Genomic DNA, 15,336 nt, shown 5'->3' with positions numbered 1-15,336 from the left:
CTGTTGATGAGAGCAACTTGAGTATATTTATTTGTTAAAGGCAGGAAACAATAAAAGTAGAACAGTGAAAAAGAATGATGGATGGATATCATTCGTTGTAGAAATAGGAAGAGGTAGGCCGGGCGAGCTGGCTTACACCTGTAATCCCAGCGCTTTGGGAGGCCGAGGCGGGTGGATCACGAGGTCAGGAGATTGAGACCATCCTGTCGAACAAGGTGAAACCCTGTCTCTACTAAAAATACAAAAAATTAGCCGGGCGTGGTAGCAGGCCCCTGTAGTCCCAGCTACTAGGGAGGCTGAAGCAGGAGAATGGTGTGAACCCGGGAGGCAGAGCGTGTGGTGAGCCAAGATCACGCCACTGCACTCCAGCCTGGGCAACAGAGCGAGACTCCACCTCAGAAAAAAGAAAAAAATTAGGAACAGGTAAAATAACTCCTGCCCTGCATTGGCAGGAGAAAGGTCAGTGGTATTTGCAGACATAAGTGAGCTTGTAGATTGGGATGTGGGGCACTTGAAGGAAATCTGAGTAATAGGTTCCATTTTCTCTCTGAGGTAGGACATAAGATTACTGCCTATTTGGGAGTGAAAGTAGAGTTGAGGATTAGGAGTTGGGAAGAGGGCCTGAAGAGGGTAGTGCACATTTCAGACAGCCGATGTGAGAGATGGGCAAGGCAGTGGACTAAGGTTACAAACTAGGATTGTGGGGTTGGAAATCATGAGTACTTTGTGATACTAGGCCTCAGCACTGAGAAACAAATTAAGGATATGACACATTAACATTTACATTAAACTAATAATAATAATCACAAAATAACCTTCCAAAAACCTTATAATTTAGTTATGCTGAGTTTAGGAAGAATGGATACATCTAAGTTATTCACTGATTATGAATGTCACCTCCATTCATGTATGCTTAATGAGCCCAAACTGACTAATGATTCTAGCCCTAACACAGGTTAAACAGTGTTTCTCCTGCCGTGAGCATGCTGAGCATCTGAATGACGCTCTGCCATTTCACCATCTCTCCTAGATTAATGCGCTCACAGGGACTCTTTTTACTTCTAAAGTCCTAGAAGAAAGAGCAGAGAGGGAGACTGAATCCCAAGTGAATCCAAATTCTGAACAAGGAGAGCAAGTATATGACTGGAGCACTGGCTTGGAGGACACAGATGATTCTCACCTTTACTTCTCTCCAGAACAGGGAAATGTGGTGTTTACCAGTGCAATAGATGGGTGGGGCTTTGGGTAAGTCTGTTTGCATCTGATTAAATCTCTTTGCAGATTTTATATGCAGTTGATTGTTTTTAGTGAAACTTTTATTTTGAGATAATTATAGATTCACCTATAGTTGTAAGAGATAATGCAGAGAGTTCTCTGGTGCCCTTTACCCAGTAACTGCCTCCTATCCATGATAACATCTTGTAGAACTGTAGTACAATAACCAAGCAGGACTTTGCCATTTGCCGTCAATATACAAAACATTTCTATCACCACAAGGCTCCTTCACGTTGCCCTTATATTGCCACAGCTACTTCCTTCCCACCCTCAAACCCTTTTTAACCCTTGACAACCATTTATCTCCAAATTTCTCATTTCAAGGGTGTTATAGAAATGGAACCAAAAAATATGTAATATTTTTTAAATTGATTTTTTTCACTTAGCATGATTCTCTAGAGACTTATCCAAGTTATTGCATGCATTAATACTGTAGTTGGTTCCTTTCTGTTGCTCAGTAGTATTCCATGGTGTGGATGTACCCCAGTTTATTCACCCATTAAAGGACATCTGGTGTTTTTTTTTTTTTTCCTTTTTGGGCCATTATGAGTAAAGCTGCTATAAACATTCATGTGTAGGTTTTTGTGTGAACATAAGTTTCATTTCTCTGGAATAAATGCCTAGGAGTGCAGTTGCTGGGTCATATGATAGTTGTATGTTTAGTTTTTAAAGAAACTACCAAACTGTTTCCAGACGGACTGTACCATTTTATATTCTCACCAGCAGTGCATGCGTGAGTGATCCAGTTTCTCCAAATGTTCACGTTTGGTGTTGTCACCGTTTTCATTTTAGCAATTCTGTTGGGTGTGTACTAATATGATATTGTGGTTTTAATTTGCGTTTTCCTAACAGCTGGTTTACCTTGAACATCTTTTCATGTGCTGATTTGTCATCTGTAGGTCCTCTTGGGTGAAAAGTCTTTTCACATCCTTTCCCATTTTCTTAATGTGTTTTCTTCGTACTCCTGAATTTTGAGAGTTTTTTCTATTCTAAACAGTAGTCCTTTGTCTCATATGTGCTTTGCAAATATTTTCTCCCAGTCTGTAGTTTGACTTCATATCCTCTAACAGTGTCTTTCAAAATGAGCAACGTTTATTTTTTGTTTTTTGTTTTGTTTGTTTTGTTTTGTTTTTTGAGACAGAGTCTTGCCCTGTTGCCCAGGCTGGAGTGCAGTGACGCAATCTTGGCTCACTGCAACCTCCGCCTCCCAGGTTCAAGCGATTCTCCTGCCTCAGCCTCCTGAGTAGCTGGGACTACAGGTGTGCACCACCACTGCCAGCTAATTTTTGTGTTTCTTTTAGTAGAGACCAGGTTTCACCATGTTGTCCAGGCTGGTCTCAAACTCCTGACCTCAAGTGATCCGCCTCGGCCTCCCACAGTGCTGGGATTACAGGCATGAGCCACTGCTCCCAGCCATCAAAGTCCGCAAAGTTTTTAATTTGGCTGAAGTTTCGTTTATCATTTTTTCTTTTTATGGATCTTGATTTTAGAGTCAAGTTGAAGAACTCTTTGCCTAGCTCTAGATCCTAAAGATTGTCTCTCATTTTTTTCTATAAGTTTTGGTTTTACTTTTTACATTTAATCCATGACCCATTTTGAGTTAATTTTTGTATAAAGTGTGAGGCTTGGGTTAAGGTTTTCTTTTGGTGGGAGGAGAGGGCCTTTGGATTTCCATTTAGTCTAGAACGCTTTGTTGAAAAGGTTATCTATTCTCCATAGAATTGCTTTTGTGCCTTTGTCAAAATCACTTGGACATACTTGTGTGGGTCTGTTTCTGAGTGTTTTGTTCTGTTCCTTTAATCTATGTGTCTGTCTTTCCAACAGTACCACATAATTTTGATTAGTGTAGCTGCATAATAAGTCTTGAAATCAGGTAGATTATTTCTGTCCACATTATTTTTAATTTTCAAAATTTCTTTTGCTGTTCAAGGCCTTTGCCTTTCCATGTAAATTTTATAGTAATCTTACCTATATCTGCAAAAACATTTTGCTAGGATTTTGATGGAAATTGATTGGTAAACCTGTTAATTTGGGGAGAATTTTGACATCTTTGCTATGTTGAATTTTTTCTATTCCATGAACACTATGCCTCTCCTTTTATTTAAAATTTTTAAAAATTCTTTTATGAGCATTTTGTAGTTTTCAGCATCCAAGTGCTGTACATGTTGAGTTAGATTTACACTTAATTTTTCATTTTTCTGAATGATTATAAATGATATTTTTAATTTTGGTGTTAGCACATTCATCTAGTATATAGAAATACAATTAATTTTTGTATGTTGATCTTGTATACTGTCACCTTGCTGAACTCACTTGCAGTTCTTTGTAGATATTTTGGAATTTGCTATGAGACTATCATGTCTGCAAATAGGGGTTGTTGTATTTTTTTCCTTTTCTATCTGCATGCTGTTTTCTCTTTTGCTGATTGCACTGGCTAGAATTTCCAGCACTATATGACTGACATTGATGGGAGTGGGCATCCTTGCCTTGTTCTTGGTCTTAGGAGGAAAGCATTAAGCCTTTCACCGTTAGAAATAATGTTAGGACTGCAGGCTGTTTTTAGATGTCCTTTATCAAGTTGAGGAAGTCCCCTAATATTCTTATTTTTCTGAATGTCATTATTATGAATGTGTCAAGTTTTGTCACATACCTTTTCTGTATTAATTAATATATTTGTATGATTTTTCTTCTTTAGCTTGTTAATATGGTATATTACATTGATTGATGTTTTTTAATATTGAGCCAGTCTTGCATTTCTTTATAGATTTTATATACAATTGATTTTTAACTTTAACTTTATTCTTGAGTAAATTCAAATGTATACCACAAAGGGATCCCACCTTATTCCTTAGCTCAGTTTATTTCATGTCAGTTTTTTGTTTATCTTCTTAAAGTTATTTGTACATAGATGAACAAATATATTTATATCAACTTTGATACCAACAGTAGCAAAAGTTAGTCTAGCTTTATTGAGGATGTACATATGCTAAATATTGAGTTACTCACTTTATTTAAATTATTTCACCAAATTCTGACAACACTCCTTTGAAACAGATATTACTATCTATTATCTAAGTCTCAAGAACATTAAGTAACTTTTGTTCAGCATCACTCAGCTGCTAAGAGGCAGAGTTGATATTAAGATTAAAGTCTGCCTGAGTCTGAAGCCTGTGTTTTCTTGACATGGTTCTTCTCTTGGTGTCTTCCCTATGGGGTATAAGGATCCTTATTTCTTCTTATTGCCTCTCCCGAATTTGCACATGCTGAGGCCATGTTAACAGTGACATTGGATTTCAGAATGGAGTAGGTAATTGATCACATTTTTTAAACTGCAACAGTTTCTGACTTGTGGAATCAAAAAATCCAAATGTAGTTAAAAGATTATTACTTTGAGAAAAATGTCTGTGGTTTGGATAAATAGTAGTGGGACCATAACTGTAGTTAACTTTAGTTGTGGGCTTGATATTGCATGTAATTTGCAGGGATCATAGAACTAGAAATGATGCACTAGGAGAAAACAGAGTCTCTTCATGAAATTTATATCAGTATGACTTAGAATTGGAAAGAAAGAAAGGATCAGGAGCTGACTAGAATGCAAGGCTTGGGTGTAGCCTAACAAATCTCTGGCTCCGTTTTTTAAAATGTATTTTCCTTTTTACAGGAACTTGTTCTCCAATTTCCCTTTGACCAGATTTTGTCTTGGGCAGGGCAGTGTAATATAATATCATAATTTTCTGTTTGTAATAAATTATAGATATCTTAGTCCATTTGATGCCCGAAAGATGATACTAGAGCTAAATAAATTGAAGTAATGCATATATGATGAAAATAGAAATTGTGAACCTGCTGAGAATTTGTACTTTTCATATATGGTTGATGGGTTGTCATTATCACCTTTCTAGGCCTCAGTTTACTTATCTGAAAAAACAAGAATATTGGGCTAAGATGATTTCAAGACTTTCTTTAGATTCATTCACAGTGATTCATTCAGTCATATAATACGGTCGTACTTGTTGATTTCCTGATTTGTGAGCATTCTGCTAATAAGCCACAAGATGGGAGGCTTGTCCCTTTCTTACATTGATTTTCATAAGTAATTCAATGTTTTATGCTAATTTTAGTCTAAATCACACAAATTGGGGGAAGTTTATTGTGGAAGGACAGGGAATAGGGAGAAAGTTGAATGGATAGAATAAGGGTAATTTACATAGCCCTTACTTTTGACATTTTTAGATACTATCAGCCAATAAATGAATGTTCCCCTGTATTAGACAAGGTCAGATTTAGAGATTGGCTACTGTCTGTTCTCAACAAGTTGATATGTGAATTTATGGGAAAGTAGTGGTGGAAATGAAAGCACCAGAGACTTTTTCCTTCCCCTTTTCCTCTAAAATGTCAGTGAATAGGCCAAGTTGACAGCTGCATGTGTCACAAAAGGTGGAAAATGAGCACATTCCAGAATTTGCAAGATGGTTCTATAAACTCTGCAGTGGGAAAGGATTAAGAAGTGTGACTAGAGGCTGAACCTAGGTCTTCTCCCGAAATCTATCCTGTTAATTGATGTTAATCTGGGAGAGTCTGCTCTGAAAAGCAGAAGCATATTGACTTGGATGGGTAGCATCAAGAATCTAAGTTCTTGTTTTAGATACATAGAACTGAGTCCTCAACCTTATAGAAGAGGGACAGGAGAGAAGAGAAATGAAAAGCCCTTTGTAATAGATTTACTTGTCTTTGTGTAACTGAGTATTAGAATTCTGTAATTAACATTAATCTACTGGGTAGCTTGGAGGGCAAAAGGGTGTGTGTGGCTCAGTAATTTCATACTTGACTGAGTTGTCATTCAGGAAGATAGGCAATGAATAGATCAGTAGTCTTGGAATATAAATCTTTCTGCAGGTCTCTTAGAATCTTGCTTGCAGTTACTCTGTAGAGGAAATGAATTAAAATAGAATTCAAGAATGGGGAAGTGCTAGAAATTGTCAGTGTTTAAAAATTGTAACTAATGACAAAAATAAATAAAAACACTAGCAGTAATGTCGAATGGGTTGATGTTAAGCAAATTTTGTAGTAACTACGGGATAAAAAAGAATGAAAAGGATAAGCAACAAGATTTTTGAAAGATTTGTGTACCCGTATGTGTACACATGTGTGAATATTTAATATGGTGGACTAGAAGAGCCTAGCCTAAGCAAATGGGCAAATGTCTTACTATAATTTATGATTTTGATAGAGGTTTTAGAGTGTTTATTTATAAAAATCTTTAAGTTTACCACTTTCAGAATTAAGAGCAGGATATTTATCTGACATATTATAAAAGATAAAATAATGTATAATACAGTCTGGGTAACACAAATCAACATTTAAAAAAAAATCCTGGAAGAATAGAAACCACACCAGAAATCTAACTGATCAAAACAGTTGTACCAATAAATGATTATACCAATAAATGTATGAAATCCCCTACTAAGGAGATATTTTTTAGAAAGGAAATTTTATTAAAAAAATAAATCCATAAGTTTGCTACATAAAAGAGATAAACTTAAAGCATAATGGACAGAGGCTAAATACCAAAGCTTTAGCTCAGATTATGTCAACCAAATGTGAATGAAAAGAGAGGTTTGGCAATATTAACAATAAAATAGGATTTATGGTAAATGAATTATGGCATAAGGATCATTTTCATATAGATAATTGACACATTTACTAGTGAAGAGATTAACTATCAATTATCATAACAACAAAGTGCATGAGGCAAAAATAGAACTATAAGTAGAACTCTGTAGGCACATGGTTTGGGGGCGATTTTCACAGGTTAGTAGACAGGAACATGAACCATATGAATAGAATAATTAAAGTCAGAATTTAAGTGTCAGTGAAGGATATACAAAAATTGGTCCTATATCAGGTGAAAAAATAATTCAAATTTAAAAGAAAGAAAATGTCACAGGTTTCATGTATTCATCGCTCAGTCATTATCTCTGGTTTTAACCATCTAAGAATAGACCCAAGTCGCCAATATGGAGAGCAAAGCTTCAGCTGTATTATTGAGGCCCCAGGGAGCATCACTACTAACAAATAGGGCTCCCTTCTAAGGTTAGGTTGGAGAGTGCCTGGGAAGTCAGTCCACAGTGGTTGCCTCCTATTGTTTCTTTCCATATGTGGACCTTGGACCTGCCTGTAGGTCCTGAATTGGATTTGCAAATCTGCATGGCAGGTTGCAGCCTGCCTAGCAAAACTGGGTATTTATAAATGAAAAGCCACAGAGATAAGGGTATCCTGACTTAACATCTGGAAGTAAGGCTCTGTGTGCCGTTCTGGGTGTGCTGAAACACCGGAAGCCAGGAGGAGGCCTGAATCTTTTTAGGGATCCACAGAGTAGGCAGCAAGGCAGAGCCTGCTTTCTTTTTGAGGCATAGGAACTCTACCAGTGGATTTCAGCCTTTCACCTTGTCTTCATTTGTGGAAGAGTGATTAAAGAGTCACGTGTGAACAAAGATAGTTTTATTTCTTCTTTTCTAATCAGTATACCCTTTATTTCCTTTTCTTGTGCGATTGCATTAGGTTGGGCTTTCAGTATGGTGTGGAAAAAACTGGGGATATCCTTTTTTTTTTTCCTGAGCAGGCATCTTTTAAGATGCTGGTACTTTGAAAATTCTAATCTCAAACCTTAAACTAGATTGTTCTCTAAAGAAAAGGTATTTCTTAGGTCCTTTATCCAGACAATGCAGATGCTGTATATAGGACCCTTAGTTGTTGATTGACTGTCTTCCTGTGACTGGAGACCACGGTGGTAAGTGGTTTTTCTCTGTGGGTTGATGCGAGTTAAGTCAGTGTGTGTATGTTTACCATTAATCTAGGATAATAAAAATCTTGTTTTGGCAGGTTGTGGCTCAAGAATTTCTTTCATTTGTGAGCAGCTGTCACTTAACAGCAGTGAGTAGCTGAAATAAAATTTTATTGTTGGCATAGTTGTGACAGGCAGCTGGAGCTTGCATTTTCTTGTCCCTAATTTTATCTTGTTTTACACCTGCAAAATTAAGAAAGAAAGCTATAGCATGTAGTACAATTCATATTGGTGTAGACCTGAACATGGGCTTTGGAGCCAGACCGCTTGGATTTAAATCCCCACCTCACTTGTTCCCTGTGTGATATCTCTGCTTCATTACCCTTTTCTGTAAAATGAGGAAATTTTGTAGGATACTGGATTAAGTTTAGTAATACACGTGTAAAGAAGTTTGAACAGTACCTGTCACAGAAATCAATAATCGTTGTTATTAATAACATGAACATTTGGTCTTCTTTCAGAATTGAGCACTTCGCCAGAATCTACAGTCAAAAAATTGGCATCAAAAAGGAAGTTCTTATGAAAACCTTGTGGGGAGATTACTATATAAATATGAAGGCTAAAAAGATCATGAAGGGTGATCAGGTAATGTGGTATATGTCCCTTTTGGTTGTTGGTCATATTCTTGCCCTATGAAAACCTATACTGTAATATCTTTAATAAATGTAATTCAGCTTTAATTTATGCAGGTGAGTTCATGAGGGATTTTTTACTGTATATAATTGGGAAAGGCTTACAAGTCCATATACAGGTATTATTCATACAGAATTCTTAGTCCTTTTAAGTATAGTGAGCAAAGAACTGCCTTTTCTTTTCTTTCTTTTCTTTTTTTTTCAGAAGACCAAAAATCTTAGATCTTGGGCACCTGAAGACACACATTTTGTGCTGTGCATTTGTTTGTCCCTGTCACCATAAAGAGATGTCTCTTCTAGACATCCCTGTATGGTTCACACTGTCTTTCTAGTGTCAGCTGAGGCCTTATCTCACTGCATGCTGGTCATCGTGCAGTGTAGATCGGGAGAGGTGGGTGCTCCCTGAAACCCCTTCTATAGATAGAGGTGGTGTAGGAATGCTGTCATATACCCTCAAAGGATACTTTTCTTGGAGCTTTGTGTTTTTAATGTTAAAACCAGGATTTCATAAATTTATTCTCATTGAAAATCATATACATTGCTTTGAGAAAATATTCACAAGTATAAAGCCACAGTAAACAAAAAAATCAAAGCCAGCACTGCTAGTAGATGTTTATAATTTCTTTCATCCTTTTTACATAGATATATACATCCCTCAGTTGAGATATGCTGTTTATACAACGTAGCTGCCCTTTTGCTTTTGTCATATCATGAACATCTTCCCTTGCCATTAAAAGCTTTTTTATAAACAATATATTTTAAAGGGAGTGAATATAGCTAAGTGGGAAAGAGCATGCCTTGAGAGTTGACTCTGTGTTTGAATTTTGGCTCCACCACTTATTGGCTCTATGACTTTTATCTCAGTTATTTCATCTGTAAAATTGAGATAATAGCACTTATCTCATAGGATAGTTATGATTCTATGAAATAATTCAGTAAGCACCCTGTTATTTTATTTTGTGAGAGCACTATCATTTATGAATCATTCTCTTAAGATTGGACATAGTTTTTTCAAATGTTTTGATATTGTAGAGTTATGATAGACATCTTTGTGCATAAGTTTTATGTCTTCATGATGCTTTTTTTTAAAACTGAGCATTCTAAGCCAATGACTTTTAATTTCTTAATACTGTTGCCAGTAGTTCTTCAGAAAGGAGGTATCAATTTATTAATATATCCCATCTCGTGTATGGAAGAGTATACCCCTCAAGGTGCTCTTGCTATTAACTTTTTGCATAGTTTGTTAAGAGTAATGATGGGGTTTTTTGGGTTTTCAAAATTTTCCTATCCTTGTGAACCTTTAGAAATATGTTTAAGAATGCTTTATGTTTCTTGTAACATAATTTTAGACTGAAGTCCATGGAAAGAGCCCGCATGTGCAGAGTGAAGTTTTAGCTCTTGGCTTGTGTGCTGTGTGTATTTGTTTGATGGCAGCCATGGTAATATGACCCACAAATGGTCATATCACTTGTAAAGTCTATGGTTCCCAGAGGAAAGAACAGTGGATTATTATTGATTGTGGATTATTGACTGTTTAGTGCATTCTTATAACTACTTTCATCTACTTTATTTTTGAATAAATATTTTCAAGTAGAAATGAAACATATTGATAATAAAAGCATGTCAAGAAGGAATATATAAATGCCTATTAAATGTTCAGGAACTTAAGCCCGTATGTTCTTTTGTACAGGCCAAAGGAAAGAAACCTTTATTTGTACAGTTGATCCTGGAAAATATATGGAGTTTGTATGATGCTGTTTTGAAAAAGTAAGACTCTTATTGTTTACCTTTAGGCATCTTTAGGCAGTATAATTTGTCTCACTTTCCAGTTTGATGAGTCATATTTCAGAAAGCTGAGATTTTCTGAGAAAATGAACAGAGCTTCTACAGATGAGTTGATTACAGGGCTTGGAAGCAATTTAAAGAAGCCTATGTAACCCAGCTAAAGGGTGATGTTGGAGGGACAGGATAGCAATATTTTATAGAGTGCTGAGGAGAAGAGATGAAAGGATAGAAAGAAACATTGGGTCTTTGTTTATGCAAACCCACTTTTAAAAAATAGTTATTAAAGTAGAAAAGGTGCTTGATAGCTAGGATCATTAATGGGGAAGTTGAGAAATAACTTTTCTGGTATAAGTTTGCTTTAGTAAATTTGCTTTCTAAGTTATTCCTGAGATGGAATAATGACTTGTTAGCACTTATTTGTAAGACTGCTTTACCACTTGGTATAGCTTGCTTGAGGAGATGGTGGAGAAGTACTTCCTGGGAAATCTTAAAGAAGGATTCACTTGAAAGTGTAAGAGTAGAGGTTGGGGAGGCCCCTTGTGTGGCGGCAGGATTCCCTTCAATCATTTTTAGCTTTTTTTGAAAAAGTAACACATTAGGGTAAAAATATGCCAAATAATGTTGGGTTCCACTGCCTGTTTATATCTGCATATGACATTTCCCCTCTCCAATCTTGTGTTTACCACAGGGACAAAGACAAAATTGATAAAATAGTGACTTCTTTAGGATTAAAAATTGGAGCCCGGGAGGCACGACATTCAGACCCTAAAGTTCAGATCAACGCCATTTGCAGTCAGTGGCTACCCATATCCCATGCTGTTCTTGGTATCCTTTATTCTAATGGTTTTTAATGAAATAGTTTTGATAAAGCTAGAAAAAACAATGCGTTATGGTAACCAAGAAATTCTCTGGAAATAACATTCAATCCAAAATAAGTCTTCTCTGCTTATTTAGTGTTCTACCATGAAACTGTATTAAATACTTTGATAATTAATACACTAATACTAATTTGTGTTAACATTACTAATAGTGAACTTCTTTAGGAAGACTATTCTTTTTGTGTTTGTTTAGTAATCTATAAAAATAAAAATGTTTACACTAAGATTCAAATATAAGTAGATGATTTAGATGTTTGTGTTAGATAACTGTTTCATTTCAAGGTCACCTGTAGCCAACCTGCTAAGCTCTGTTCTCATTTGTTTCATGGGCCTCAGTGTTAAAGTATCTGTCATGAGGATCCTTTCTGAGCTTTAAGGAGTTTGTGAACTCCCTGAAATTGTATGCATGTTTTGAGATGTGATGCATAAAGCAGTGTTGCCTTGTAGCACAGGCATTTTCTGTATGGACAGACTTTGTTACCTCAATATTTAGTGCATACAGTGAATCTTCGCCTTGGTGGGAGGCACTGGCTCAAGGTTTTCAGTCCTTAACAATAGACTTCAGCTATGGTGTGTCAGAAACTTCCTAGTCCCCTTGATATTACAGCTGAGAGAGTGGAGAGACTGATGTGCACAGGATCACAAACTTTTGACTCTTTTCCACCAGAAACTCAAGCACTGAAAGCAGGTGAGGAAAGATGGACCTGTTGGAATATACCATGTCATTGACTGTCCTCCATCCAGGCTGCTCTAGACCAGTTTGCTGAACGCTAGTTTGCTAAATGGCCAATTTGCCAAATGTCCACTTCCACAGATGAACAGTTTCACAAATGACCATTTCACCAGTTTTGCCTCCCACCCTCACCCCAAAGGTTTTCTTGTTACAGCCATTTTGCTCAGGCAGTAGGGTGAGACCAGCGACTTGTACACATGCTCCTCGTGAGAAAAGAAGCTCCCATTCTGGGCTTTGTAGGTTCCATGAAATTTGTCTCCACGTATTTTCTTATCTCTAATTCTTTTCCTCCAGTTCTATTGGTTTTGTAACCCTGCCCCCAAACCACTACACTGTTATTCTTGGCATCACTATTGACTTTCGGTTCATTAAATCTAATGGCCAGTTTTCAGTCTTCACAGGACTAGATCTGTCACTAGCATTTGACGCAATTGATCACTCCTCCTTGAAACACTTTCGTCCCTTGACTTTTAGGCTTCCATTGCTTTCATTCCCTTGCTTCTGCTTTTCTTCGTGTCTCCCTGGCTGCTTATCCTTAATATCTCTTTTTGTGATTCCTCCCCATCTCCCTGGCTTTTTAACTTTGGGGTGCCTCAAGCAAGGTTCAAGTCTTTGATCCTCATCTGTTTTATCTGTAGTCCCTCTTTTGATAATTGTACCCAATCTCAAGACTTTAAATGACAGCTACATACTCATAATTCCCACGATTATGTGTCTTCAGAGCATGTCTGTTTTCTGGACTCTGGACTGATATCTAGAACTCCCTCTACACTGTGTTGTCTAAGAAGCATCTCAACTGAACATATCCCCAACTGGACTTTTTATCTTATCCCCAAGCCTGCTCACCTAGTCATTCCCATCTCAGTTAGGGAGACCTCAATCTTTTCATTTACTCAGTCCAAAAACCTTGGAGTCATCTATGGCCCTTATATTTATCTCACACTCCAACATCCAGTCCATCAGCAAATCCTGTTTATTCTTCCTTTGAAATACAGAATTCAACTATTTCCCAATGTTTTCACTTCCTGGCCAACATGGTGAAACTCCGTCTCTACTAAAAATACAAAAACTAACTGGGCGTGGTGGTACACGCTTGTAGTCCCTGCTACTCGGGAGGCTGAGGCAGGAGGATCGCTTGAACCTGGGAGGCGGAGGTTGCAGTGAGCCGAGATAACGCCACTGCACTCCAGCCTGGGCGACGGAACAAGACTCCATCTGAAAAAACAAACAAACAAACAACAACAACAACAATGAAACAACTAGTATCCCTGCTTCTGCTCTTGATTCCTGTTAGTGTTTTCTCAACTATTGCAGACAAAACAGAGTGATCCTCTTAAGATATAAATCAGGGCATGTCATTCTGTTCCTCATTCAAAGCTTCCACTGGCAAGACTTCTGATACATGTTTGATTCTTACTTCCTGTGGTTTTCTTTTTTCTTGTTTGTATTTTACTGTTGAATTCTTTATATATAAATTATTTTAACGTGAGGTGATGGAATTGTTTTAAAAAAATTCATTAATCAATGTTTTTTTACCTCCAGTATAGGTTAAGGAAAATGTTCATATGTTAATATGAAATTGCATTAAAATTTGTGTATTTAGGGAGAATTGGTATCTTAATAGTATTGAATCTTAATTTATTTCTAAGAATTTGTTAATATCATAATACAGTATTTTTGTCCATTTTATTTTCTAACTTGTTATTGTGGGGGATTGGGAAAGCTATTGATTTTTATGTATCTTATTAACAAGCTACCTTGTTGATTGTTGGCCTTTGGTAACATTCCTCAATTCTATTTTCTATACTTGATACAGTGAAAAATGTATTAGTGCTTATGGTAGGTGGTTAACCTCATTGCATAGCTTTAGCTTTCATATGAGATCCCTCACCCTGTCAAATTTGCTTGCTTTTCTTTTCTTATTTCTGCCAACTGTTTGCTCTTGCTCTGCTATTCTTTCCTAGCAATCTTACCCTTTTCTAATTAAAATTTTTATCATAGTTGGAAAAAGTTATGGACTTCTGGTGTATTTTGATGATGCCATCCATGTTCTAAACATTTTAATTGTTTTCCAGAAAAATCTGTTTTTTTTTTTTAATAATGGGAAAAATAGTGACATTTTTACTTCCTATTTGTTTAGCTTTTATGAAATGTGGAAGTGAGGACACTGCTCCAGTTATTATATTTGTTTCCAAAATGTTTGCAGTTGATGCTAAGGCCTTGCCTCAGAATAAGCCAAGGTAAGGGAAAGGGGAAAGTTGGGCTGGGCTAGGAATATGGTGTATGTTTGGTGGGATGCAGTTGGGCTGTGGGTAGGGGGGGCACGGATAATGCTTTTCCTCCTCAACCCAGAATTCATATCAAGCCAACCCCCAGGGTAACATACAATTTATACAGTAGTATATCCTTTTGTGATACCTCTGTAGGAGAAAGTTGTTGAAATCAGCTCTGGAATATTGAATTGAAGTGATGTAAGTTTGAAGAGTATGTTAGCAGTAGTAGCAACAATTAACTTTTATTAAACATGTCAGGCAAGTTCTAATCTAAGTCTGCCTTGTCTCATCTAATTCTGCCTACCTCAGTAGAGATTATGAATGTATGAGGATCTCTGCTTCCCTGTGTGTATTATGTGTGCACAGGTGTGATAGGTGTAGGAGAGGGATATTCCTCAAGTTCCAGAGTCTTGGGGAATCTGTGTCTTCTACATTTCCTGTTTTTTATGTGTGTTCCCCTCCTTCTGTCTCTGCTGCTTTCCCCACTAGTTTAGATTCTGATCATCTCTTGTGGATATTGTTGCAGCAACCTCCTAGCTGGTTCTCCTGCCCCATCTTTAGTTCCACTGATCCACTTGCCATTCTTTCTTTAGAGTGATCTTTATAAGACTCAGCTATGAAGATATGTCTCTTGCTCAAAAACCCTTAATGATCCTCACTGTCTTGAGCAGTTTTGATTCAAGTGTAAAGTGTTGGCGATGATTTCAGTGGTACTTAGGGAAACAAGTTTTAATATAATTAGTTGTCATATTTATTTTAATGTGTATTTGTGTGTATTGCCTGTGTATGTCAAGTGATAAAGCCTTTACCATGATGAGATTTTAAAGTTTTATTGAGTTAAAAATGTTTGTGCATTTAAATAAGTATTAAATAATAATATGCAGATATAGCAGAAATCATGAAAATGATATGTGAG

The 15,336-nt window shown here is 36.7% G+C and overlaps 1 protein-coding gene across 5 annotated transcripts in view, besides 1 other annotated feature; it reads left to right on the top strand.

Moving 5' to 3' along the window:
* The window catches only part of EFL1 (elongation factor like GTPase 1), a 132,502-nt gene that overhangs the window by 23,183 nt on the left and 93,983 nt on the right, over positions 1-15,336 (top strand). For all 5 annotated transcript variants that reach the window (NR_136410.2, NM_001040610.3, NM_001322844.2 and 2 more), the window contains 6 exons: positions 1,031-1,245; positions 8,581-8,704; positions 10,442-10,518; positions 11,225-11,361; positions 11,980-12,102; positions 14,288-14,387. Coding sequence is in view for 4 of the 5 variants with exons in the window: in NM_001040610.3 (NP_001035700.1) it covers positions 1,031-1,245; positions 8,581-8,704; positions 10,442-10,518; positions 11,225-11,361; positions 11,980-12,102; positions 14,288-14,387 (776 nt within the window). In the remaining variant the exon portion in view is untranslated. The remainder of the gene's footprint in view (positions 1-1,030; positions 1,246-8,580; positions 8,705-10,441; positions 10,519-11,224; positions 11,362-11,979; positions 12,103-14,287; positions 14,388-15,336) is intronic.
* Positions 10,477-10,677: a silencer, noted in NCBI's record as "peak2402 fragment used in MPRA reporter construct". NCBI's record gives its function as "represses an SCP1 promoter by STARR-seq MPRAs in K562 erythroleukemia cells {active_cell/tissue: K562}" and the evidence as "EXISTENCE:reporter gene assay evidence [ECO:0000049][PMID:32103011]".

Source organism: Homo sapiens, chromosome 15, assembly GCF_000001405.40.
Source record: "Homo sapiens chromosome 15, GRCh38.p14 Primary Assembly".
NCBI lineage: Eukaryota > Metazoa > Chordata > Mammalia > Primates > Hominidae > Homo > Homo sapiens.
The sequence above is the reverse complement of the archived record's forward strand: the minus strand, read 5'-3'. Positions and strand labels throughout refer to the sequence as shown.